Here is a 27,426-nt window from a genome sequence, read left to right as displayed (position 1 = left end):
TTCTGATGTTGGGCCCTGGCTGTCAGCCCCCCAACAAAAAGAAGGATTTCCTCTAAAAGTATAAGTCAGTATTGAATGCAGCTTTTAGGCTAGGGCTCCTTAACCTTGAATGTGCGTATAAACTGCCCAGGGTTGCTTGTTAACACAAATTTCAGTTCAGGTCTAGGAGGAGCCCAAGATTCTGCATTCCTGCAGTCTCCCAGCTGTGGCCTGTGCTGCCGGGCTACAGCCCCCTCAGGAGCAAGGCTGTCCAGCTCACTTCCTGTCTGCAGGAAATACTGGGAACAGAGGGAGAATGCAGGTGAGGCCATGAAGCAGCCACCACATTTGTGCAGAAGGTGGGGCATTCTGCCAGATGCCCGGCTGGCATCTTCAATACGTCTGCGTCAAAGGGAGCAGAATAGGGCAGAAGAGAAGGACTGGGAGAGACTCGAGAAACAAAACCACCAGGTTTGAGGGATAATCTTTGAAGGATTTGAACAAACCTGCTGTAAAGACATTTCAAAGGGGGTCGGGCACAGTGGCTCATGCCTGTAATCCCAGCACTTTGGGAGGCTGAGGCAGGCGGATCACCTGAGGTGGAGAGTTCAAGACTAGCTTGACCAACATGGAGAAACCCTGTCTCTACTAAAAATACAAAAAAATTAGTTGGGCATGGTGGCACATGCCAGCTACTCCGGAGGCTGAGGCGGGAGAATCGCTCGAACCCGGGAGGTGGAGGTTGCGGTGAGCCGAGATCTCGCCATTGCACTCCAGCCTGGGCAACAAGAGCGAAACTCCGTCTCAAAAAAAAAAAAAAAAAAAAAATTTCAAGAAATTTGAATGACCAGGTATTGGATGACAGTCAAGATTTTTGCTAATTTTGTTAGTGTGATAATGGCGGCTGCATGGAGAGGTGTCTTTAATGAGATACAAAGTAGCCTGAAACCTGTAACTCAGTATCCTTTAGCCAAGGAAACTGATGAAGTGCAGCCGGCACTGCAGCAGCAGCAATCCCTTCCACAGTGTATCCTCTTTACTGGCCTGTGCTGGAAACCATGTATCAAATATCCTGACAACTGGGCCATGAGGAAATACCCTTGTCTTTAGCTGCCACCACTGGGGTGAGCGGAGGTTGGCCCAAAGCCGCGGTGCCATCCAAGGAGGCAAGAAGGAGTGGCGTGTGCCCCATTTCCAGTGGTGGCTGCACAAAAACGTATCCAGATTGCCAGGGGCACGCCTGGTCCCCACAGCTGGTGAAGGCCTGGCTCCACCTGGACTGCAGTAGGGCCAGGCTGTGGCCCCTGTTTCACGCCCCCCAATTCAGAGTGATTCTGGGCCGCTTTTCTGCCTGGAGTTTCCCCGTTCTGAGGGCCCACTGCCCGGTGCGCCTTCTCTCTGCCCTTCCCTGACTTCCTCCAGTCTCCCCAGGCTGGGTCCGAGGGCCTGCAGTGACAATAGGCTGGCTGGGCCCAGGCCATTGGCTTGGCCCCCAAGAGGACCCCAGCACCTCCCTACCCTGCAATCTCTTGCTGTCAGGCTGCAGCAGATCCTTCTGGAACAACGTGGGGTGGACACTTTTCTTGTATAATATTAGTTTGCCTGTGGAAAGTGTTTCTTTTCTGTACATGAAAGCTCTGTTCAGCTGTAAGAGCCAGATTTACATCTTCCTGTTTTTCCCCAAAGAGCAATCTTTGGTGTCTTTACTATAAAAACGTCATGTATTCATTATTTAAAAATAAATAATACGGAAAACTTCCAATATAAAGTAGAAACTGAAAGACCCCGTGCCCTACCTCTCAAATCCCTACAACATTTGGGGTACAGTCTTCCAGATGCCTTCTTTCTGAGGCCGGGAAGCTTGCAAAGGCACTCCCTGTCTGCGCACCCCTCTTGTGTGGAGTACGCCATGGGTGTTTTCTGTTCTCCATATACCAGGAGAAACCAGCCACCTCTCTTGGATGTCTCCAGGGCCCCACTTTGTTAATGCCCCACAGGCTGAGCCCCCAGCCTACTGAGGGGGCTTTGGGCATTTCTGAGGCCTCGGCTCCAGCTCTTGGCGGCTGCGAGGTCTTTTGAGGAGTAGCGCCCCCACCACAGGTGAAGGGCATGGCCGCCCCCTCCAGGGCCAGAGCCACTTAGCTGGGGGCGTTAGAGGGGTTTCTCTGTTTTCTCCTCTGTTGAATGGGGCAGTGATTGCTGCCTCTACTTCCAGGCCAAGGTGTAGCCATTGTCAGTAGCGCCCAGGTAAGGGCACAGCTCGCCAAGTGCCAGGCACTTTTCCGGGTGCTGGCAATGTGAAGAAGAAACACGTGGTGTCTGTCCGGGACTGTCTCCCGGAGCCTCAGTGAGGACAAGGCAGCCAAGAGCAGAACTACAGGCAAGGTAGCCTCTGGAGGGGACTCTTGATCTCCAGGTTGGAGGAGGCTGAGGCAGCAGAGGGGTTGTAGACAGGTGGGCTCATGCCTGAGGCCTGGCAGAGGCAGCGCTGGGAAAACAGGAATGAAACTCACCAAGCGCCAGCTACCCTGGGAGTCCTGATCCCAGTGGCCCTCAGCTCTGGCTGCATGTCAGTGTCATCTGGGGACTTCTTTGTTTTGACACAGGGTCTTGGTCTTGCTCTGTCACCCAGGCTGGAGTGCAGTGGCATGATCACAGCTCACTGCAGCCTCTAAATCCCAGGCACAAGTGATCCTCCCACCTCAGCCTCTCAAGCAGCTGGGACTATAGATGCACCACCATGCCTAGCTAATTTTTAGATATTTGGTAGAGATGGGATCTCATCATGTTGCCCAGGCTGGTCTCGAACTCTTGGGCTCAAGCAATCTGCCCACTCGACCTCATTACCTAATTGCATCTGTGAAGACTCTATTTCCAAATGAGAATCTTCCAAGGAGAGAAACCACCAACCACCAAGAGAAAAACACCACCACCACAATCATTCCAGTTCCAGCAGATCTCCCAGGGAGCAGGTCCAGCTGCCCCCAGCCCCAAGGCCCAGCTCCCTCAGAGGATCCACCCACCCGGATGCCACCCCCACCAACCCCAACATCCAGGAGCAGGGGGATCCCATTACTGCAAATGGTCTTGAGACTTTATTAGATGGGAGGAAGGACCCTCCAAACTTCAAATGCCCAGGTTCTTGTGTCATTTCTATCATTGTTTATGCTTCCGCAAAGCATAAAGCATGACCTTTGTAGAAAAGTCTGAAAGTCTAAATAAGTAAAATAGGAATTGAGAGCACACACACCCTCTCCTAAAACACAGATGGCCAGACAGGACTGAGCACGCTGTGTGGGTCAGGCCTCAGCCATGCACCGGTCACCTCTGAGGGGTTTTTATGTTTTTTGTTTTAATTAGTTTTTTTTTTATTTTTTATTTTTTGAGATGGAGTCTCGCTCTGTCGCCCAGGCTGGAGTGCAGTGGTGCGATCTCGGCTCACACTGTAAGCTCCGCCTCCCGGGTTCACGCCATTCTCCTGCCTCAGCCTCCCGAGTAGCTGGGACTAGGGCGTCCGCCACAATGCACGGCTAATTTTTTTGTATTTTTAGTAGAGACGGGGTTTCACCGTGTTAGCCAGGATGGTCTCGATCTCCTGACATCGTGATCGGCCCACCTCGGCCTCCCAAAGTGCTGGGATTACAGGCTTGAGCCACCGCGCCCGGCCTTTTTTTTGTCTTTTTGAGACAATGTCCCCCTCTGGTTACCCAGGCTGGAGTGCAGTGGCCCAATCTCTGCTCACTGCAGCCTTGACCTCACGGGCTCAGGTAATTCTCCCACCTCAGCCTCCCAAGTAGCTGGTATTACAGGCCTGAGCCACCACGCCTGGGTAATTTTTTGTTGTTGTTGTTTTTGGAGCAGGGGAAGGGTGCTCTATGTTGCCCAGGCTGGACTTGTTGCCTCTGCCTCCCAGAGTGCTGGGTTTACAGGCCTGAGCCACGGCGCTCCGCATTAATTTCTTTTTAGAGATGAGGTTTCACTATGTTGCCCAGGCTGGACTTGAATTTCTGGGCTCAAGGAATCCTCCTGCCTCAGCCTCCCAGCTTACCTCTGAGGTTTATAACCGACGCTATGTTCTTAATCCCTCAACCAGGAGCCTTTAAATGGTTTCAAATTTTCCCCATTACAGGAATAACTTGCTAATAATAATAATAATTAGCAATTGTTTCAAAAGTAACGTCATCCCAAAAGAGAACGTTTCTGAAAAAAATGCACATTAGACTTGAAGACCCCCAATGGCACGGTTGAACATGGAAATGAACCAGCCTCAAAAGTCCCAGCGTAGGGGTTATTTTCCAATCAAATTGGATGCCTTTCTACAAAATGTGATGTGCACAGGCTGGGGCTGGTACCTTCACCCCAGCCCAGAGGGCACCATGAGAGGGAGAACAGGGCGGGCGAAACAGGCCAGCTCCTCCCCAGCCCTCTGCCCTGCTCTGCTTCAGGGGGCTGATCTGAGGGCCCAGTGCGCACTGCTTTTCCTCCTTGTCCGACAGGGTCTCCCGCAGGCCAGAACTAGGCTGCTGGGACACTGCGGGGCTCAGGGCGTGGGGGAAGAGATGCAGGCAGTGGCTAGTCCCGTCCTGTCCGCGGAGGTGACCCAGCCCCGACCTCTTCGCAGAGGAAGTGTTCTCCAACCTGGGACCTGGGGGATGAGCGGGGGTTAGGCTTACGTCCCAACCACTAACGGGGCTGGTTGAAAACGGCTCCCAGGCGGAGGGGCCCTCCGCGATGTTCTCAAGGAGTAGCGCGAGGGGACGACATGGGAGGTGGGGTTCTCACATCAGCGGGCGCACGGAGTGCTGGAGGCACCGACCCGCCGCGGACGGGATTGAACTAGGGAACTGGGAGGGCGCAGGAGATAAAGACGGCTGGGGCCGGGGCCCACGGAGAGGGGTGGTGCCCAGTGTCCCGCGAGGATGTGGTGCCACCCGGGGAAGGTCCCGGGAGCGGGGACCCGGGACCCCCCGGAACCACACACGCGGTCTCCACCTTGCCCCGCCCCATTTAAAGAGGCGGAGGAACGCAGGGCGCGCGCCGCGCGGAGGAATATTTGCATATGGCGCGGCGTTTCTTCGGAGGCTTGTGATTGGTTGCTGACTGCGGCGCGAAGCGCAGTTGACTTGCGCCGCGCTCGGCGAATCGCAGCCTGTCTTGCTCGCGGAGAGAGGAGCTAGGAGCCTCGGCCAATGGGAGCCGGCGTTGTTGGAGGCCACGGCGGCGCAGCCCCAAAGCGAGCGAAGCTAGGGTCGCCGCCACTGCCGCAGGAGGCGTGAGGTGCGGAGACACGGGTGCTGGGCCGGTAACGGCGCGCTGGGGAGGGCGGCCGGGCCCGGACGGGCGGGTGGGGCCGCGGGTCCGGCGCGGGCGCGGCGGCGGCCATCTCTGGAAGCCTCGGGGCGGTGGGGCAGGGGCGGGGCCGCGTTCTGGTCGGGGCAGGCAGCGGCGGCCGCGGCGGGGCCTGGGGCTTGGGGCCTGGAGCCCGGGCCTGGGGCGCTGGCGGGAGGCCCCTCCCAACTCCCGGCGCGCCTCGCCCGGCTGCCCGCCTCACTGAAGGTCAAGGCGCTTTGTTCTGCGCCGCGGGCGGCCTCCTGGGCGGCGGCCCCTTGGAGGAGGCGAAGACGGCGAGAGGCGGCGGCCGCTCAAATCTCCCGCTAGCCCAGCCCGCCCCGCGTGCGGGGGCTGTGGCGGTTACACGGCCGGGCGCGCCGGAGCGTTCAGGCTTCCCGTTTTTAAGGTGGAGACGTCCAGGACTTCTTTATTAGATGTTTAGGAATTTGAGTTTTTCCGTAGGGCGGTTGTCATCGTGAGCCTCTGTGGGGTCAGGCTGGGCTAACTGGGGTTTTGATGTCAGTTTGGTGTGGCCGAGGGCATGTCTGACGGGGAAGAAAGTCCTTGGCGTTGCTTCTTAGCTGTTGGGAGCTGTGCGGTGGGAGCGAGCTGGGCGGCGTGCGCTCCCCGAGGACTGGCCTGAGTGGCCTTAGACTAGTTACTCACGGGACTTGGTTTCCCAGCCAAGGTGGGCAGCAAGTCTGTTTACTATTTAAAACCGTCTTTCACAAGGGAAAAGCAAAATCTCCAAAAAAAAAAATTGTACATGTTATGGATGGGAAAGTGCCATGCTTTTCTTTCAGTTCAGAGATGGTGGAAGAGGTCACATTTGTATTTTTTGACCTGACCAGAGTCTTTGTTGTTTTCAATTTTCCCCTTCTGAATGCTTTCCGTTCACCCCAGCGAAGGATGGCCTGGTCATGATAAGACTTTCCACCGTCCACAGTTCTCTAAGTCTGATTGCGGGGCAGGAGGCAGACATGTTTAGGGTCCAGTAAAGGGGACTCCAGCCTTGGGACCTTTAGACCCTAACGTGTGTGTCACATCACCTGCCTGGGTGACTGTGCGCTCCTCTGGCAGGAAGGTCCGCCATTTCATTATGTTCTCGGAGGAATCGTCGGGGCACATTCGTCTGTGCTTTGGTTCGCATCCCCCAGTCTGCATTACTTTTTCCTGTAGTAACCCGTGCCTTATCCTCCTGCATTAGGTTTACGGGGTGAAAATAGACTTTTAAAAATTCTCTTACCTTAGAAATATACAAATATGTAGATTAGGTTGTTGGACCTTAAAGGTAAGTCTTTCTAAGTTACTACCTTCCTGTAATAGTAACTATACCTCTAAATGACTAATACCTGCACTGCGCACCAGGGACTCTTTCAGCCTGTTTGCGTGTGTTAACTCATTTCATAATCTAATAACCTGAGATAGATGCTATTGTTTTTCCATTTAACTACTCTGGAAGCTGAGGCCCTGGGAGGTTAGGTATAATGACTTGTCCGAGGTGACAAAGCTTAAAGACCCAGGCAGTTTTAACTGTACCCAGGGTTACTGCTTCTGTAGAGGGAATGAAAGAAGTTTTAATGAGAAATTGTTTTCATCATTGTGCTAAGCTTAACTGAACTCTAGCTTACGAGGTTTTGAGCTGGTTGATCATTTCCATCTCAAAATTCTCTTATTCCACAGAATGCCAAATGCCTCCTATAGTAGAATTTTGAGATTCAGACTGGGATGAGCAATTGCTAATGGAATAAATAATATGCAAATGTAAAATGAAGTTCAGAGAAAGCAACGTGGTGATAGAATGGGAAAGTAATCCAAAGATAAAATGAGTGACTACAGAGAGAGAGAAAATTAGTTATTTAGTAGTAGTTCACAAGTTTACTTAGAGATATTTTTACTAGAATTTCAGGGCCTTATGATGTGATTTTTATGAACCATTTTAACACGTTACTGCCGTCTTAAATAGCTGTTATTACATATCCAATTGCAGTCTTTTTTTTTTCCTGGTTGAGCAGTGTTAGCTTCAGAATGTCTGCAGTTATTTGTGCCTATATGTCATATAGGCACATATAACACTTTTGTGAATTTTGTTGTGTAAGCTTTAAATCCGGTACTGTTTTTCAAAATGAATATGGAGTAGTCATTGGAGAAATTGGTTGAATTCTTTGCAGTAGCAAATAAATTTTAATCATTTTTAAGTTTGATAACTTTGGTAAACTGAATTCTGAAAAGTTTACACATGTTTTAGGATGTCCTCAAAATGTACAGGGCATTGTGTTTTGCAAATTAGCCATTTAGCCATCAGATTCTTCTGTAGAATTTTGATCTTTTTGCCCATATGAGAGGTAGTTCTTATTTGTATGGAGGTTAAGTACCTGCGGATGGGATGTGTTCATCACCACTTTACAGTATGAATTTGAATTTGAAACTGAAATGAAAACTTCCTAACCTGTCAGAGTTTTTAGTAGCCTCTTGTTATTGACCGCATGTTAATTCCCTTTGTTAGCTATTCGCAGCTAAGTGTGGGGACTGAAATCTTTATTTTGTTTTCCTTCTTTTGAGCAGTTGATAGTCTCTAGCATCAGGAGGAGGTGACCTCAAATATGTATGTATATATAGTAGTGCTTTTCTTCCTTCCCTTTAGTTGTCTGCAGTTTAAAAATTATTGTGATAAGTTTATGTTGTACTTCCAAAAATGTTGCCAAAGAGCCTATATTTTTCAGTTTGTTTTGGAAGAAAAATACTTTGTGGGCAAGAAGGTGATTTAAATTCCTGACGGCCTAAGAGGCGTCAGCTGTGTGAAATAGGCGAGTGCTGTTACTGCTTGAAACCATGATGGTTTATATTTGAATAAGACAGCAGAGATGAGCTTGTTGGGAGTTTGGCCTGAGATTGCTAGCTAAGGAATGCTTGCTTTTTTGCTTAAAGGGAAAAGTGTTTTAGGCTTCCAGAGTAGAAATCTGATATTACTTCGTTTGATTCTTCGACCACTATGGTGATAGGAAGTAGCTGATCTCTGCAGGAAACTGCTGTTACCTGGCCTCAGCTGAATTTTTGTGGGACCTCCTGAGGTAAGCAAATTTATGCCTCCCGAAACTATAGTTGTAAGGTTTGTCTTTGAGCATATAGTAATGGAAAACCCTTATCAGTAGGTAGATAGTAAATAATTTTGTATTTGGCTGCTAATGAAATTTTTAAGAAATAGTTTGTGGTGATATAAATTAGTTTTCATCTGGCAGTCATTGGTTTTCCACCCTGCCCTCTTAAGAGAGAACAGGGTTGCTTTACTTTGTTTGCCAGAGCTTTACATTTTGCATTTAGTAACAGAGGCATTGTGTTTTTATAGTATGAAAACAACGAAAGATCACTTTGTGATCTTTACTTTTTGATTTTGACCACTTCCTGTGTAACCTTAAGTTTCTTACAAGTATCCCCTGTTAACTGTTAAAAACGAAATGTATGTTCATTTCATGTCCTTGGGACTTTTAAAAATGCGCTGTGCATTATCTGGAAAAGCCTGTTCAAAAACAAGATGAGATAATTTCTGTTTAATTTGTGGTAGAAAGAATGACTGTGCACTTTTATGTGCAAAGGTTTTAAGTATAATAATTAAAATAGTACTTGTTTACTCAGTTACCGAAAAGTAGCTTTCAGTGATTTGCATCTGTTTACTTATTCATGAGCATCTTCTATGTACTGGGCACAGTTCTAGGTACTGGGGCCTCCCGCAGAATAAAACAGAAGTCTTTGTCCTTGTTTCTGCTATGGGAGACAGACGAACAAGTTCAATGGTGGCAGGTGCTTTTGAAAAACAGTGCAGAGGAGTAGGGACTTTGGTGGTTGCAATATGAAATAGGTAGAGAGGGAAGTGCCTTATTGACAAGATGACAAGATCTTTTAATATGTACTGGATTAAGAAGTTAGCCTCATTGAGTCGTATGCTAATGAACTGCCCAGAAAAGAAGGGTGGAGGAGATGGGAGTGCAGCAGTAAAGACTGCTGCGCCCCAAGTAAAATGTAGTGTTTTGGTTAAGGAAAGGAAATCATTTTTTGCTTTCTTCTTGAAACCCCAGGGCTTGGCACCGCAGAAGTCTCTGAAGAGACAGTCTGCTGCTGTTTGGAGGCAGGTATTTCAGTAGATCTTGTAACCAAACATGAATGACTAAGGCAGTGTTTCTCCTCTGTGTCTTCAGAAACTGCTTGAGATGTGTGCATGCAGTCCCGGGCACCATGCGTGCTGGGTACTGGTAACACAGAGACAAGTTGTCATTTGGTAGCAGTGAGTTAAGCAAAGATTTCTTGGCAACCAGTCTCATCCCGAGTCTGTTGCTGGGCCTTGGGACTTCTGTATTGAGCAAGTAGACAGGGTCCCTGCCCTCGTGGAACTTGTTCTTTAGTGGGCAAACATGTATTATTCATTGCTTTTTTTTTTTTTTTTTTTTTGAGGTGGAGTCTCGCTCTGATGCCCAGGCTGGAGTGCAGTGGCGCGATCTCGGCTCACTGCAGCCTCTGCCTCCCAGGTTCAAGCAATTCTCCTGTCTCAGCCTCCCAAGTAGCTGGGATTACAGGTGCTCACCACCACGCCTGGGTAATTTTTGTATCTTTTTAGTAGAGACGGGTTTCACCATATTGGTCAGGCTGGTCTCGAACTCCTGACCTCAGGTGGTCTGCCCACCTGGGCCTCTCAAAGTGCTGGGATTACAGGCGTGAGCCACCGTGCCCAGCCTATTCATTGCTTTTAAACATTATCATGGGCCTGGCATGGTGGCTCACGCCTGTAATCACAGCACTTTGGGGGAAGCTGAGGTGGGCAGATCACCTGAGGGTCAGGAGTTTGAGACCCTCTCCCGCCTTGGGTGACAGAGCGAGACTCCACCTCAAAAAACAACAACAACAACAAAAAACCCAGAACATTATCATGGAAAGTTTAACAACATGATTAACTTCTGATCCTGGAGAGTGGTAATGATAGACTGGATCAGGAGTCTACTGGCCTGGGCAATAGAAATGAAATCTGGACTGTCTCAGGGCTTCGTATAATCACCAGCTTTTGTGGGTGGGGATGTTGGGGTGTCCTACAGGGGTATCTTGATTCCTTCTGAGAACAGATCATTTCTTTGTCCTTTCTGATGTCCTAATCTAAAACATCCAGTACTCCTGGAGGATTTGAACTTGTGCCCAATGGCTGGTCAGACTCTCTTGGATTGAGAATGTTGGATTGCCATTCCTCAGACTGAATGTGGGCCAAGCAATTGTGCTTTAGAAATTTATCTTAGAGTGCGGTGGCTCATACCTGTAATCCCAGCACTTTGGGAGGTTGAGGCAGGTGGATCACCTGAGGTTGGGAGTTCGAGACCAAGTCTGGCCAACATGGTGAAACCCTGTCTCTACTAAAAATACAAAAAAAAAAAAAAATTAGCTGGGCATGGTGGTGGGCACCTGTAACTCCAGCTACTTGGGAGGCTGAGGCAGGAGAAACTGGGAGGTGGAGGTTGCAGTGAGCCGAGATCGCGCCACTGCACGCCAGCCTGGGCAACAAGTGCGAAACTCTATCTCAAAAAAAAAAAAAAAAATTTACTACCATCCCTAATTTTGTAGGATATATAGGATTTGTAAGGAAATTATAAGGAGTCTTGTGAAAACATTAATTACATTTGAATTAATTTTAATCCTTCAGTTATCTCCCATAAAGACATTGAGGACCTTTGAGTTTATTAAGACAGAGTAAATATATAAAAGTTTTGGGGAGTACGACTACACTCTCTAGCTTTGTCTCTCAAACGTGGCCCAATTTTTTTTTCCTTTCTTTTTCTTTTTTTTTTTTTTGAGACAGGGTCTGGCTCTGTCGCCCAGACTGGAGTCTAGTGGGGCAATCTTGGCTCACTACAACCTCCGCCCCCCAGGTTCAAGCAGTTCTCCTGCCTCAGCCTCCTGAGTAGCTGGGACCTCAGGCGTGTGCCACCATGCCCAGCTGATTTTTGTATTTTTAATGGAGATGGAATTTCACCACGTTGGCCAGGCTGACCTCGAACTCCCGACCTCATGTGATCCGCCCGCCTTGGTCTCCCAAAGTGCTGGGATTACAGGCGTGAGCCACCGTGCCTGGCCATGGCCCAATTTTATAGTTACTCTAGCTATGGAGTAGATGTTTTCAGTTCAAAATTAGGAATTTAAGGTTATATTTTGTTACAAAAATCTTTAAAAATTTCATAAGAAAACAGTTGTTTGGGGTACAAAGAAATTAATCCATAAATAGGATTGTTACAGTGACTAATATAAATAAAAGAACATTTGTGTAATCATGGGAATTATTTTATTTTATTTTTCCTCGACCCAATTAACTGGGTGAAAATTTGCTTGCCAGTTCAGATTTAGAATTGTAGACACAGTTAAAGTTTTTGACCTTGGGAGGGAACCTGAACTTTAGAAAACTTACAACATTCTTTTGCCTGGTATCCCTTTCATAATTTAACTTGATTGTCTTTTATTTATTTTTAGTTATTATTTATTAACACAAAATTATATTTATGATGTATAATGCGATGTTTTGAAGTACTATACATTGTGGAATGGCTAAGTCAAGTTAATTCACATTAGGTGGTATACTGATTCTGACAAGAACACTTAACATCTACTCTCAGCAATTTTTCAATTATGTGATACATTGTTGTTAACTATAGTCACCAGGTTGTATAGATCCCTTGATTGCCTTTTAAAAGTGAGAGAACCTTCTGGATGAGTCTTCGGGCTGTGGTTTTATAAGACTAGTATTAAACTGAACATAACATTTAAAACAAACAGATATTTATTTTCCTCAAACCTGTATATTTGATAGTTCCTTATAACTTTCTGTTTTAAGGGTGATAGGGATTGATAAACAAAAATAATTTGTGGTGCTGAAACTTGACTGAACTCTAGCTTGTTTATAATACCACCTCTCTACATTGTCTTTCCTTATTCAGGTTGAGCACTCCTGATCCCAAAATCAAAAATCCAAATGCTCCAAATTCTGAAACTCCGTTAGTGTTGACATTAATGTTACAAGTGGAAAATTTCACACCTGACTTCACGTGATGGATCACAGTTAAAACTTTGTTTCATGCACAAAATTATTTAAAATATTGTATAAAATTACCTTCAGTCTATGTGAATAAGATGTGTGGGAAACGTGAATGAATTTCATGTTTAGATTTGGGTCCCATCCCCAAGATACCTGATCATGTTTATACAAATATTCTAAAATCTGAAACACTTCTGGTCCCAAGCATTTCAGATAAGAGATACTCAACCTGTATAAAGGGTGCAGTGTTTAAAGTAACTTGATTTGTTGGTTTCATATCAAGGAATAGATGTAGTCTATATGCATGGCAGTTACAAAAGTGAAAAGAGACCTGGCCTGCTGTTATGTACTAGGAAATTTGTCTCCATTAACAGTTTCTCAGGTAGCCACTGTCTTCTAGTTTGTGGATGATGAAACTGAGGTCCAGAGGAAGGTTATGCAGAAGAGCATGAGTGGGAATGAGTATGGGGAAGTAGACAGGGCCTGAATTGGTAGGAATGTGTATTCTGCAGAAGGTGACGGGGGACCATTGAAGTGTGTTTGTTAGTTTTTTGTTTGTTTGTTTTTTGAGACAGAGTTTCGCTCTTGTTGCCCAGGCTGGAGTGCAATGGCGAGATCTCGGCTCACTGCAACTTCCGCCTCCTGGGTTCAAGAGATTCTCCTGCCTCAGCCTCCTGAGTAGCTGAGATTACAGGCATGCGCCACCATGCCCGGCTAATTTTGTATTCTTAGTAGAGACGGGTTTCTCCGTGTTGGTCAGGCTGGTCTCGAACTCCTGACCTCAGATGATCCGCTCGCCTCGGCCTCCCAAAGTACTGGGATTACAGGTGGGAGCCACCACACCTGGCCTTTGTTAAAGGGTTTTTAAATCTTCACTGACTAGGGCTGGGTTTGGGTTGCTGCTGTGGTCGTGGTGGTGAGCATAGCCAGCCATTGTAGGGTTTGTTGCCTTTTTTTTTTTTTTTTTTTTTTTGAGGCAGGGTCTTGCTCTGTTGTCCAGGCTGGAGTTCAGTGGCGCAGTGATAGCTCACTGCAGCCGCCAGGCCTCCAACTCCTGGGCTTGAGTGTTGCTTCTGTCTCAGCCACTCAAGTAGCTGGGACCAGAGGCATCAACCACTGTGTCCAGCCTCATTTTTTTTTTTTTTCTTTTTGTTTTGAGACAGTCTCACTCTGTCTCCCAGGCGGGAGTGCAGTGGTGTTATTTCAGCTTACTGCAACCTCTGCCTCCTGTGCTCAAGCGATTCTCCTGCCTCAGCCTCCTGAATTGGGACTACAGGTTCACACCACCATGCCTGGCTAATTTTGTTTTTTTTGTTGTTTTTGTAGAGACGAGGTTTCCCCATGTTGCCCAGGCTGGTCTGAAACTCCTGAGCTTCAGGTGATCTGTGATAGGGGTAGGATTTGAAACCAGGCTGTTCAGTGTGTGTCTGTCTTGTTCTAGGCATTGAGTTCTGGGTTGGTTGGTTCTTTAGTCAAAATTATTTTCTTTTTTATTGTGTAAATTCATTATTTTTTTTCTATCCTTGATTTAGCACTTTTTTTTTTTTCCAGAATACCGTGTTGGGTTTAACTTAACTGCCTTGTCATCTTGTTAACAAAAATTGTATTAAACAGCACATGCCGGGCTGGGCATGGTGCCTCTGTCCTATAATCCCAGCACTTTGAGAGGCTAAGGTGGGAGGATCACTTGAGGCTAGGAGTTTGAGACTGCAGTGAGCTATGATCCTGCCACTGCACTCTAGCCTGGGTAACAGAGTGAGACTGTGTGTCTCTTTAAAAAAGCACAGCCTTCACTTAAATGAAAATTGAGTGAATCATTTTATCAATGGACTCTGTTAAGTTGGAACAGGTACCATTCCATGGGAAGGTGAACCTCTTTGGCTCATGTCCTAACACAGGTGGTTTATGCTTTCAACAGATATTTATTATGCCAGGAACTGTTAGGGGCTCTGGGGCTGCATAGTGAACAGCATCAAAAGGGAGTATTGTCACACTCCATTTGTAGACAAAATGGATTTCTTGGAGATGCTGCTGAACAGTAGGATTTCAACCCTGACTAAGCTGTTGCTTGTCACTTGTTCCAATAGCAGCAACAGGTTTTTTGTTTTTTGTTTTTTTTTGAGATGGAGTCTTGCTGTGTTGCCCAGGCTGGAGTGCAGTGGTGCAATCTTTGCTCACTGCAAACTCCGCCTCCTGGGTTCAAGCAGTTCTCCTGCTTCAGCCTCCCAGTTGCTGGGATTACAGGCGAGTGCCACCATGCCCAGCTAATTTTTGTATTTTTAGTAGAGACGGGGTTTTACCATGTTGGCCAGGCTGGTCTTGAACTCCTCACGTCGTGATCTGCCCGCCTTGGCCTCCCAAAGTGCTGGGATTACAGGTGTTAGCCCCCAGGCCCAGCCTAGCAGCAACAGAATCTTTAATGAGCAAGTAGAAACAGCCAGAAGTGAAGTGGTGTTGGTACTAGGGAAAGGTTAGAAGGAGTCAGATTTGAAACACGAATGCATGTTTTACTAGCCGTGTGACTTTCAATTTGGCACCTCACCTTTCCAAGCCTCAGCTTCTTTTCGTGTAAACTGAGGATAGTCCCTCCCTAGTGGAGTTTCTCTTGGTATTAAATGTATGAAGTGCCTGACATGTAGGTCCCTTGCTAGTATAGGAGGTGCTGGAAATGAAGTATGTGTCTTTACGAGGTGTTACTGATAGGGTGATGACAACAAGAATCTGTCCATTAAACTGACAGTGTTAGATGTTTCCAGGTTAGTAGGCTTCTTTCAGCAATTAGTGTGTATGTGTGGGGTAAGGAAGGTGCTATGAGATACATTTCTTAGGCAATAGAGAGCTTCAATTAAGTAGCCAAATTACAGTTGATGTTATTGTGTAACTGTTTTGGCAGTATGTATCAGAATCCATTCATGCTCTTTGACCCAGAAATGCTACTGTAGCGGTCCTGCTATTGCCATATCAATTAAGGATAACTGGGAGTGGGAAGCCATATAAGCCAAGATGTTCATAGAGACATTATCAAAGGTATATAACAGAAAAAAACACCTCATTCTTTAACAGCTGGTAAGTGGTGTTTTAGCTCTTAGAATGTTGTCCTTAAACAATTGTTATGAAGTCTGACTGTCTCACACCTTGCATTTAGAATATGTGAGAAGGGAACTAACCTCAGGAATACTGTGATTGCAGCAAACATGGTGGAGGAGCGTGAGTGGGAATGAGTGTGGGGAGGTAGACAGGGCCTGAATCAGTAGGAATGTGTATTCTGCAGAAGGTGACGGGGGACCATTGAAGGGTGTTTTGTTTGTTTTTGAGACGGAGTTTTGCTCTTGTTGCCCAGGCTGGAGTGCAGTGGCTTGATCTTGGCTCACGGCAACCTCTGCCTCCTGTATTCAAGCGATTCTCCTGCCTCAGCCTCCCGAGTAGCTGGGATTACAGGCGTGTGCCACCATGCCCGGCTAATTTTGTATTTTTAGTAGAGACGGGTTTCTCCATGTTGGTCAGGCTGGTCTCGAACTCCCCACTTCAGGTGATCCGCCCACCTCAGCCTCCGAAAGTGCTGGGATTACAGGTGTGAGCTACCACACCTGGCCTCCGTTAAAGGGTTTTTAAATCTTCACTGACTAGGGCTGGGTTTGGGTTGCTGCTGTGGTCATGGTGGTGAGCATAGCCAGCCATTGTAGGGTTTATTGCCTTTTTTTTTTTTTTTTTTTTTTTTTTTGAGACAGGGTACTTGCTCTGTTGTCCAGGCTGGAGTTCAGTGGCGCAGTCATAGGTCACTGCAGCCGCCAGGCCTCCAACTCCTGGGCTCGAGTGTTGCTTCTGTCTCAGCCTCTCAAGTAGCTGCGACCAGAGGTATCAGCCGCTGTGTCCAGCCTCATTTTTTTTTTTTTCTTTTTGTTTTGAGACAGTCTGACTGTGTCTTCCAGGCGGGAGTGCAGTGGTGTTATTTCAGCTTACTGCAACCTCTGCCTCCTGTGCTCGAGCGATTCTCCTGCCTCAGCCTCCTGAGTAGCTGGGACTACAGGTTCACACCAGCACGCCTGGCTAATTTTGTTTGTTTGTTTGTTTTTGTAGAGACGAGGTTTCCCCATGTTGCCCAGGCTGGTCTGAAACTCCTGAGCTTCAACTAATCTGCCCACTTTGGCCTCCCAAAGTGCTGGGATTATAGGCATGAACCACTGTGCCTGCTGCATTTTTTTTTTCTTTTTGGTTTTCATCTTCTTCATTAAAACATAATTTATTTTTTTTGAAAAAGACAATGTGTAATATTTGTTGTATTTTGAATCTTAAAAATAGCACGTTTTATTTCTAAACAATAAAAATTTTAAAAAAGTAGTTGAGTTAAATACAGGACAGTCATAGATCATAATTAGAACTGTTTTTGTTAAATATAGAGGGGTTTTTTTGTTGTTGGTTTTACCCTAAAGCTATGTGATTCAGTGGTTTGGGCTTTGCTCAGGTACTGAAGAATGAACATTGGCCAGTTTTCAGCTGGAACAACCGTTTAGCGAGGCCCTCAGGTGTATTTCCCACATCTGAGTTTAAGGAACTTCGTAACCACACCTGTATTATTTTACATTTAAGGACCTTTTTAAGCTGTGCATTTAGCTGTTACTTTAAATGCATTTAGATTAGATTTTGAAATTGTATAGGCCAGGCGTGTTGACTCACACCTGTAATCCCAACACTTTGGTAGGCTGAGGTGGGAGGATCTCTTGAGGCCAGGAGTTTGGGACTCAGCCTGGGCAACTTAGCCAGACCCTATCTCTACAAAAAATAAAATTAGCTGGGCATGGTGGCCTGCGCCTGTTGTCCCAGCTACTCAGGAGGCTGAGATGGGAGGATTGCTTGAGCCCAGTAAGTTGAGGCTGCAGTGAGCCAGGATTGCATCACTACACTGCAGCCTTGGTGACTGAGATCCTGTCTCAAAAAAAATGATAACTTTTTTTTAGTTTTATTAATATCAAGTTCTTCTATTTAAGAAGTAAATGCCCTAGAACACACCCTTAATATTCAGTTACAATGTCATCTAATTCTACCAATATAGAAATAATCATCTTTAAAAGTGGAATAATACTGAGTATATTACACAAGGTTTTTACACAAGCAATACATCCTCAGTGTAGAAGTAATGGAAGATACGGAATAAACAAATGCAATTAGAAAATAATCCCATAAGTTAATTTGAAAGTGTAAACACCAGTAAATGCTTTGACTTACTCTAAAATGGTTGGGCTATCATTAATGTATGTTTGTGTTGCCGAATGTATTATAAAAAATAAGGCAAATTAGAATTAATGTTATTCTGAAGTCTGGTTATTTTAGTGCCAATAAGATAATTTTATTTTATTTTATTTTTTTTTTTAGATGGAGTTTCACTCTTGTTGCCCAGGCTGGAGTGCAGTGGCATGATCTCCGCTCGCTGCAACCTCCGCCTCCTGGGTTCAAGTGATTCTTCTGCCTCAGCCTCCTGAGTAGCGGGGATTACAGGCGTGCACCACCACGCTCAGCTAATTTTGTATTTTTAGTAGAGATGGGGTTTCACCATGTTGGTCAGGCCGGTCTCGAACTCCTGAGCTCAAGTGACCCACCCACCTCGGCCTCCCAAAGTGCTTGGATTACAGGCGTGAACCACCGCGCCAGGCCGAGAAATTTTTTTATGAGTAAAGTTTGTGTGTGATGAAATGCACAGATCTGAAGTGTATAGTTTAATAAGCTTTAACAAGTGTATATACTCAGGTAACCTCAGTCAAGATCTAGAACATTTTCATCACTCTAGAAAGTTCCCTCCTGTCCCTTCTAGTGGACTCCATCCCACAGATAACCGTTGTTTAAAAAGTATATTGAACAAACATTTTTGCTTATGAATATAATTATTACAACTCTTTTTAATTTATAGGGGATAAAAACATTCAGATGGCAGATCACAGGTAAGCCAAAGTGGACTTTGTTTATTGGAGTTTAAAATTCAGTTGGTGAGCAACAGCCAAGCCATTTTTCAATAAATAATTAGAATCAAAGTTAAATGCATTTCAGCGTCTAGCTGATGGCTCATTTCTTGTGTATGTATTTGAGCACGTAAAGAAATTACTTCCGACATGAACAGTGCCTCAGACATTGACACTACAGATCTTTTATGGAAAGCAATCGTTTTGCTCTCCATGCTTTAACACCCCTGGGGTGAAGTTAGGTAATTTTGACACTCTCCTAACAGTCTGTAGTTGTCAGTGATCAAGTGGAAGATTTTGTTTTGTGGATTGAGGGTTACTTTTAGTTGTGTATATTATTTGATGTTTATTTTTTGTGAGGGAGGTGTGTCCAGGCATCTTTAAAAACTGTTTCATGGCTCATTTTACACTTGTTGTGGCTAATTTTACAAAGCCACTTTGGGCACTGTCTTAACTTGGTAAGACTGCCTTGCTCTGATCACATGAGCAGCTGACCAAACAGTAACATGTTCGTTGGTTGATGGGTTTGGTTTGAGGGCTGGGAGCAGATTTTTTGAGGAAAGAAGCTGTAGAAATGAGAGCTAAGAAGCTTTGGCTAAGGTTGGAAATAAGAACTTTGTAGGGCTTTATGTTTGGGAGAGGAGAGGGGATGTTACGTAGTAGAATATTTTTATAGCAGAGAGGACAGCCTCTGAGATAACATGCACATTGGTAGTTTTCTTCTGCCCAAATCTGACGTCACTGTACAGATACCTCTTAATATATTGAATAAGAAACATGTCCATTTGTGCTATGTCTTTGGAACTTTCTTTACAGTAATACTTTTTAAACATACTGTTGTTTTAGTTTTTCAGATGGGGTTCCTTCAGATTCCGTGGAAGCTGCTAAAAATGCAAGTAACACAGGTCAGTCCACTGCACATGGAGAGTTTGCATCCAGTATGGGGAACGTTCCTCTCTCTGGAAACATTTATTAATGCAAGTAAAGGATTCCTGTACTGCAGTGGTTTTAGGAAAGCTAGAGTAATTAAAATGAAAAATCAGTATCTCATTAACAAAAGATGTATTTATTATAGGAATTCAGACTCTACAGTAGTAAAGAGAGTAATAGTACAGTCTACCTTCTTGTAGCTACCATCAGTGAGCTTTAGTATTGATTAACAAATGACCAGTCTTTTTTCTTATTTTTGAGATGGAGCCTTGCTGTGTTACCCAGGCTGGTCTTGGACTCCTGGGCTCAAGCAGTTTCCTGCCGCAGCCTCCCAGGTAGTTGGGGCTACAGGCACAGACCACTGCTCCTGGCCATTTTTTTTTTTTTTTTTTAAGTCTATACCCTTTACTTTCCTTCCTTTGGAAAGCAAATCCTAAGAATGTCATTTTGTTCATAAATTCACAGATGTGATATTTTTCCACCATTAAAAAAAACTATATCTGTACTCCCCACTCCCTCCAAACTGTTTGAAAGCAAGTGGTGGATATCTATTTTCCTAAAACAATTCTACAATGTCATTACCAAGAAACTTAACACTGGAGCAATACCATTCTCTAATAGACAGTCATGCTCCTGTTTCCCTGGTTTTCTCAGCAATTTTTACCCCACGCCCGAATCTAGCACCTATTCAAGGATCATGCGTTTTGTTTTGTTCTAGAGTCATCTCCCTACCTTTTGCATCTTTTATTAATACATCAACATATCAGCGCTCTGGGCCACTGTTGTCTTATAGAATGCTCACAGTCTGGATTTGCCCAGTCGTTTCTTCCTGATGAGATTCAGGGTAAACATTTTGGCAAGAAGGGCACACAGGTAACATGATGCAGTGGTCGTTGGTTCCGGAGGCACAGGGTGTTGGCTCGGCACCTGCCCAAGGACACTGAGATTGATGATTAAGACAGTGCCTGCCAGACTTCTCTGTTACCAAGGTCCTTTCACCTTGGAAGCAATCTGTCAGGCACGTGTAGATATCCTCTTCCTCTTCAGCAAACTTTCACACGGAGGTTTTAGCACCCATTCATATGTGTTTGTATATGCATGTAGTATTTATATACTACACATGTGTACACAGTTTTATATATACAAATTACGTACCTTAAATACACTTCATGTGCTTCATGTTAGTGGTTGTGTTTGCAGTTCTATTATGAATGTTTAAAATTGAGTGCCTGCTTGGTGTGTTTGACTTACCCACATCATGGGAGAATACTCGGGATGGGAGAATACTCGGGATGGGAGAATACTCGGGTATGTACTGGCTCTAAGCAAGGGAAGGGCGCTGGGTTTGGATTTCTGTATTGTGTCATTAAGAGGGAGATTGTTAAGAGTCTGTGTCATGAGCCAGATGTCTGCCACTTCATAGTCACAACTGGGTAAAAGGACAGTCACTACCTTGTCAGGATCTCATTCATTGGTTTATTGGGAAATGGGCTTATAAATACAAACAGCTTGGTATTGTGAGCTCACTACACATGTAGGTTAGCCCTAAGTGGGGTGGAATGGTCAGAAGTGCTTCCTGGAGGGAGGTGGGTTTGGGCAGAAGGACATTCAAGGCAGAGGCGAGTAGCACATGCAAAGAAAACTTAGGGAACAGTGCTGGCAGAGAGCTAGTGAGCCTTGGGCTCTCCTGGACTGTGAAGTCTATGGCACCACAGTGAGCAAGGGAGCTAGTGGATGCTCTTTTACTTTGAGGAACTGATCTCATCTCTGTTCGTGGCTTCTGGACACCACCATGGGACTTGGGGGTAGACCATGTGAACTTACATTAATGATGTCCTCAGTTGTTTAAGTCTGGTGCTTAAACAGCCACAGTCCTGGTGAGAGCCAGGACTCTCTAGGTGTTTATTCAGTAAATTTGTAACTACCCATCAGGTGATTAACCCAGAGTGTTAAATGCTCTTAAAATAAATTTTAATTATTTTCAAAACATGTTTAAGAAGTCACTGGTGTATGTATTTAGAAATTAGTAGATGTAAATCTAGGCAAAGCTAAGTAGATATGTTACTAATTTTTGACTCTTGGCTATTGTGTGTGGTGGGCATATTTTAAATATGTTTGGTCTTAACTCTTCATAGAAAAGCTCACAGATCAGGTGATGCAGAATCCTCGAGTTCTGGCAGCTTTACAGGAGCGACTTGACAATGTCCCTCACACCCCTTCCAGCTACATCGAAACGTAAGTGTGCTGTGAATAGGGTCTCATGCAATTTGGAGAAACAAAAGGAAAATAAAGGAAAAACCACTTTTCAGTTCCCCAGAACAGGATTAAATGTTTTTTTCGTTCCAAGACATTGTCTATGAGAGACAGGCACTGGGATATGAGAGGAGTGACCCTACCCGGTGCCTAGGCTGAGAGTTTGCCTGGTGGATGGAGTAGCGTGACCTGTCAGTTCTGATAGGAAGTGCACAGTGCCATCCTGTGGAGGGCTAGAGGACTTCACAGATCATCTGAGTTGGAGAGGACAGCTGGTGGCTCCTAAGTTAAACTAAGAGAACCACTCCTTCCTGACTTACCCACATGAGCCTGTGACACCAACACCTTAAAAAAAAAAAACTGGGCATAGTGCCGCATGCCTATGAGTTTTCACTACCCTCCAGCCTGGGTGACAGTGAGACTGTCTTTAAGAAAAAAAAAAAGATGGGGTCTCACTGTATTTCCTAGGCTGGTTTTGAACTCATGGCCTCAATTGGTTCTCCCGCCTCAGCCTCTCAAAATGCTGGGATAACGGGTGAGCTACCGTGCCTGGCTGACACCTTTGCTTTCTTAAGAGAGGCCTATGTGCTAGATGTATTGCACTATGAAAATGATAAGGGTGGTGATCCTAGAATCCTAGGATGGCTCTTGTCAGGACCTCTCTTACTTCTGGAAGGAATTTTTGGTTTTTGAGTTGGAGTCTCACTGTTGTTCAGGCTGGAGTGCAGTGGCATGTAATAGTTCATTGTAACCTTGAACTCCTGAGCTCAAGTAATCCTTCTACCTCAGCCTCCAGAGTAGTTGGAACTATAGGCATGCACCACCATGCATGGCAATTTTTTTTTTTTTTTTTAAAGGGATGAGCTGTTACTGGGCTTCCATCTATAATTGGGTCAGGGCTTGGTCTCCCAGGAGGCCCCACCTTCCAGCTGGTTTCCCCAGTCAGGACTGCCAGGGCTATTACGACAAGAAGGGGACATTTATTTTTTATTTTTATTTTTTGAGACAGACTCTTGCTCTGTCATCCAGGCTGGAGTGCAACTTCCGCCTCCCGGGTTCAAGTGATTCTCCTGCCTCAGCCTCCTGAGTAGCTGGAATTGCAGGTGCACGCCACCACTCCCAGCTAGTTTTTTGTAGTTTTATTTATTTCACTGTACGTTCTGGAGTAGATGTGCTGAGTGTTCAGGTTTGTTACATAGGTATACATGTGCCATGGTGATTTGCTGCACGTGTTTTTTTGTTTGTTTTGTTTTGTTTTGTTTTTGTATTTTTAGTAGAGACAGGGATTTGCCATGTTGGCCAGGCTGATCTCCAGCTCCTGACCTCAGGTGATCTGCCCACCTTGGCCTCCCAAAGTGCTGGGATTATAGGCATGAGCCACTGCGCCTGGCCTAGAAGGTGACATTCAGAGTTTGCTTTGCCCATTTAGAAGCTTCTCAGAGATTACTTAGTGGGCAAGGTGTTTTGATGTTATTTTTTTTGCAGACTAGATTGATGGGATGGGGTGATACTGAGTGGGAGTGGCAAGAATGAGAATGAGTAATGGTTTCTAGTTTTCTCGCTTTAGAAACTGGGTTGGTGGGGTGGCATTCTGTGAGAGGAACTGCTTGAGTGGGATCAGGTTTATGTGGGACTAGAAGTGGTTCCATATTAGCCATATTGCAGGAAAAGTGCCGGCAGAGGGCTGGGTGTAGTTGGTGTGAATGATTGAAGGACTGTTGGGGGCACACTAGGGTCCAGTTTGTTTAACATCCTTTGTCTAAATGACGAGTTAATGGGTGCAGCACACCAACATGGCACATGCATACGTATGTAACAAACCTGCACGTTGTGCATTTGTACCCTAAAACTTAAAGTATAATTAAAAAAAAAAATCCTTTGTCATTTTACTTCAGTTGGAAAGCTTCAAAAATTAAACTAATTTAAAATTGTATAATTAGCCAGGCATGGTAGCTCACACCTGTAATCCTAGCACTTTGGGAGGCCGAGGCAGGCAGATTGCTTGAGCTCAGGAGTTCGAGACCAGCCTGGGCAACATGGTCAAACCCCTACTCTACAGGATGCAAAAAAATTAGCTGGGCATGGTGATGTGCCCCTGTAGTCCAACTATTCAGGATGCTGAGGTGGGAGTATCATTTGAGCCCAGAAAGTTGAGGCTACAGTGAGCCGAGATCGCACCAGTGCACTGCAGCCTGGGCAACAGAGTGAGATCCTGTCACAATAAATGAATGAATGAATGACCAGTGCAGAAAAGGGGTAAAAATGGCAGTGGGAGTCTACCATTTTGTTAAATTCTTTCTGCTTTTCCCTTTTTTTCATCTACTACTAGCAGTAGTTCTAGAATGTTAAGCATTATTTGAGAGTCTTTGCTTAAACTAAGGACCTTTAGCTTGAGGTAGCTGTGGTTGTATTTCACCCAGGAGAGTGGTCCTTTGGGATGCAAGGCAGTTGTTCTAATACCTCCCAGACCAGTGATATGTGTGTGTGACTTGCCTACTGCTCTGTGCTGTCTGTTGTTGGAGGGTAAGTCAAGTGCTTAGACTTGAAGACTCTGATTGTGTGAATGAGTATTCAAGATGCAGGACCCAGGGCCCTGCCCCAGGTAGATTATTTGGGTCTATGATGAGGCCAGGAATCTGCTGTTCAGTCCACATGATTGTGACCAGGGGCTTCGTTTTGAACAAATAGTTTTGATGGGTTAAACAAGGATTTTTCTTCTGATTTATAAAAGTTATACATAACAACTATTTTTTAAAACATAGAACAGAATTGAAAGGCAAACTCATAGTTGACCTGACTCTCCAGGACAAAGTTGTGTTGCCTGTGGTCTGTGTTTCTCAGATTTTTTCCTCCAGTGTGTTAACAAGTGTGGATTCCCACGTGGCACTAAATATTCCTGGACAGTGTGATTATGAATAGGCCATATTTGAATGCTGTTGCACTTGCATTGTCCAGTTTTTCACTTGTACAGATCTATCGACGGACACTCCAGCATAAATACTTGATTAGGATAAATTTTTTTTTTTCCTTTTGGTAAGATAGGGTCTTGCTCTGTTTCCCAGGCTGGAGTGCAGTAGCGCAATCATAGCTCCCTGCTGCCTTGACCTCACAGACTCAAGTGATCCTCCCACCTCAGCCTCCTGAGTAGCTGGGACTACAGGCGCACACCATCATGCCTTGCTAATTTTTTAAAATTTTTTTGTAGAGAGAGGTCTTGCTGTATTGCTCAGGCTGGTCTTGGAGTCCTGCCCTCAAGCAATCCTACCTTGGCCTCCCAGAGTGGTGGGATTACAGGCATGAGCCACTGCGCCCAGCCTTAAGGATAAATTCTTAGAAATAGAATTACTGGGTCCAAAGAACATTTTCAATATTTCTGCCCTTCAGAAAGATGAGTCAGTTAGAGGGCTTCTTGGCCCTTAGCCTCGTAAAACCTGGGTGTTTTGTTTTGGTTTTTAATTGCCAATTTGGTAAGGAAAAGCTGAGTGTTCTTAAATGTTTGCATTCTTTTGGATATTTTATGAAATTGAATCTTTCTTCATGTTTGACAATTTGTGTTTTTTCTTTTGTGAATTATTTTTTCTGCTTCCTCCTGTATCCTTTTTTTCCTGTTGGGGTATTGTCCTTTTCTTAATTTTTAAGAGGTCTTGTTCATAGTAAGGATGTTGATTCCATGTTAACCTAAATTTATTTTAATAAAATTGAAAAGCATGCTGCTTTATTTTGCAGGCATGAGGATGTTGTATTTCTTACTCCCTTTTTTAGTTTACCTAAAGCAGTAAAAAGAAGAATTAATGCATTGAAACAACTTCAGGTGAGATGTGCTCACATAGAAGCCAAGTTCTATGAAGAGGTACATGACTTGGAAAGAAAGTATGCAGCGCTATACCAGCCTCTCTTTGACAAGGTAGGGAGCTCTGTTAATTTAATATACAGATAGTTTTCAGCTTACGAAGGTGTTAGGTTCCGATAAACCCATTATAAGTTGACAACATCTAGGGTAAGAACGCATCTAACCTGCCAAACATAGCTTAGTCTAGACTACCTTAAACAAGCTCAGAACGCTAACATTAGCCTGCAGTCAGGCAAAATCATCTTCCACAAAGCCTATTTTATAATAAAGTGCTGAGTATCTCGCGTAATGTATTGAACCCTACACAGAGAGAGGAACACAGTGTGGCTGTATTGGTGCCCAAAGTGTGATGGCTTCTGCACCATCAGGAAGTTGAAAATCTTTAGCTGAACCATTGGAAATCGGGGACTGTCTTTATTTTACATCTTTAGGTGAAACATCCAGGTTTACCCAGGGAATCATTTAATATTTTTCTTTGAACCCTAAAATTTAGAATCTTAAAATAAGTTATAAAAATATCCAGTTTTCAAAGTCTTTTAGTAGACATTATTTATAAATTTAACTCTTGAGTTCCTAAGTAAGCTAATAACATAATTCTAATAAGGTCTCATTTTTATGTAGAGAAGAGAATTTATCACCGGCGATGTTGAACCAACAGATGCGGAATCGGAATGGCACAGTGAAAATGAAGAGGAAGAGAAATTGGCTGTAAGTCTTTAGAAACATGTGACTCATGTTCTGTTTTAATACTGTTAAAAATAAGCATTTTTTAATGATTTTTAATGACTAGTAAACTTATGTGCTTCTAACAGTAGGTGCTGCTGCATCATTAGGTTGGGTTTAGATTCCTTTCTGATATGGATCTAGCATCTGACACAGTACTGTCAGTTAATAGGAGTAAGATGTAGTGCCACCTCAGTTATCTGTGGACAGGAGCATATTGAAATAAGGGATCAGACCAACAAAGATTAAAACATCAGAGAAAGCAAAGATGAAGAAGAGATGCCCCTGTGTTCTCAGTCACTGGAAGATTGGGGGAGTTGTGAGGGGAGTGCCTTCCTGCTCAGTGGCATGGACTAGCTTGCCCCCTGAGAGGTGCTCCGCCAGTGGATTGGTTGCAGATGGTGGTTGTGGTGTGGCCATCAGTCACCTGCTCACAGCCTTTTTCTAGTGACTGGTCCCATTCCAGTGCTGTGAAAACTCCCAGTGTACCATGGATTAACTTTGTCAGCCTGATTTTATGTTTGGGAGACAAGTAACTTTTATCCTATAACTAACTTTTTGCAGTTTTTTTTTTGGGGGGGGGGTGGTATATGATGATTTTGGTAGCCATATGTGTTTTTGATGCTTTAAAAATATATAGAACCTGGCCTAATTGAAGCCATGGCTGTGGATTAATACAGTTGTGAATCAGTTTCTAACAGCTCAAGGGAAATCTGCCTTTGCTGATTTAAAAGGCCTTTCATTTCAAGATCATTTCATCATAACAATCCCGTTTGGCAAGGCATTCAGAATTTCCCATAGTTGCATCTGGTGTTGCGTTTCACCTCCCTTGGTCTACCTTTTCCCTGGGGCCTGACTCCCCTTCCTTTTGCCATGTGGCCTTTCTGGTCACTTTCTGATGCTTGCGTGGTGTCTGAGCTGGCATTTATAGCCACTTCCTTACAAGCTGGATAAGTTGCTGAGCACTTTCTTGCTGCAGATACTGCTGCGGCAATTTTTTTTTTTTTTATTTCAACTTAGCACCCCACAAATTTTAACAAGAGGTCAGATTATTAGTCCAAGTGAACTTCTTTATCCTTGCACTGGACTTTTTTTGCCCAGTGCTAGATGTTCTGCATATTTGCATTGCATCTCCTTAAGGTTGATGTACAGTCTTTGCATCTGCATTTGTGATGATGATTGTCTCAGGATGGCACCTCACAGAGCTAGCACTGGATGGCCTTTCCCAGCGTCGGTGGCACTTTGTCATCTCTTTAGTTTCTTCGCCTTTGATGTGAAATGGTACGGAATTCCGTGTGGATGTAATGACTTGAATGCTTTTTCCTCAGAAGCATCTGAAAAGTGTCGCG

At 44.9% G+C, this 27,426-nt stretch overlaps 1 protein-coding gene across 14 annotated transcripts in view, besides 2 other annotated features; it reads left to right on the top strand.

Moving 5' to 3' along the window:
* Positions 4,917-5,211: an enhancer, noted in NCBI's record as "tiled region #13774; HepG2 Activating DNase unmatched - State 1:Tss, and K562 Activating DNase unmatched - State 1:Tss". NCBI's record gives its function as "activates a minimal TATA promoter and a strong SV40 promoter by Sharpr-MPRA in HepG2 and K562 cells {active_cell/tissue: HepG2 | K562}" and the evidence as "EXISTENCE:reporter gene assay evidence [ECO:0000049][PMID:27701403]".
* Positions 5,181-27,426, top strand: part of NAP1L4 (nucleosome assembly protein 1 like 4) — a 47,893-nt gene continuing 25,647 nt past the window's right edge. For 2 of the 14 annotated variants that reach the window (NM_001369381.1, NM_001369376.1), the window contains exons 1-7: positions 5,181-5,256; positions 8,239-8,381; positions 18,273-18,303; positions 19,168-19,226; positions 21,387-21,486; positions 25,267-25,408; positions 25,976-26,062. In NM_001369381.1, the coding sequence (NP_001356310.1) occupies positions 18,290-18,303; positions 19,168-19,226; positions 21,387-21,486; positions 25,267-25,408; positions 25,976-26,062 (402 nt within the window). In that variant the 5' untranslated portion in view covers positions 5,181-5,256; positions 8,239-8,381; positions 18,273-18,289. The other 12 variants (NM_001369380.1, NM_005969.4, NM_001369384.1 and 9 more) reach the window with 10 other exon arrangements.
* Positions 5,756-6,612: an enhancer, noted in NCBI's record as "H3K27ac hESC enhancer chr11:3012128-3012984 (GRCh37/hg19 assembly coordinates)". NCBI's record gives its function as "activates a minimal SCP1, AML or CMV promoter by ChIP-STARR-seq in naive H9 embryonic stem cells {active_cell/tissue: H9 hESC(naive)}" and the evidence as "EXISTENCE:reporter gene assay evidence [ECO:0000049][PMID:30033119]".

Source organism: Homo sapiens, chromosome 11, assembly GCF_000001405.40.
Source record: "Homo sapiens chromosome 11, GRCh38.p14 Primary Assembly".
Classification (NCBI taxonomy): domain Eukaryota; kingdom Metazoa; phylum Chordata; class Mammalia; order Primates; family Hominidae; genus Homo; species Homo sapiens.
This window is presented reverse-complemented; position numbering and strand designations above follow the sequence as displayed.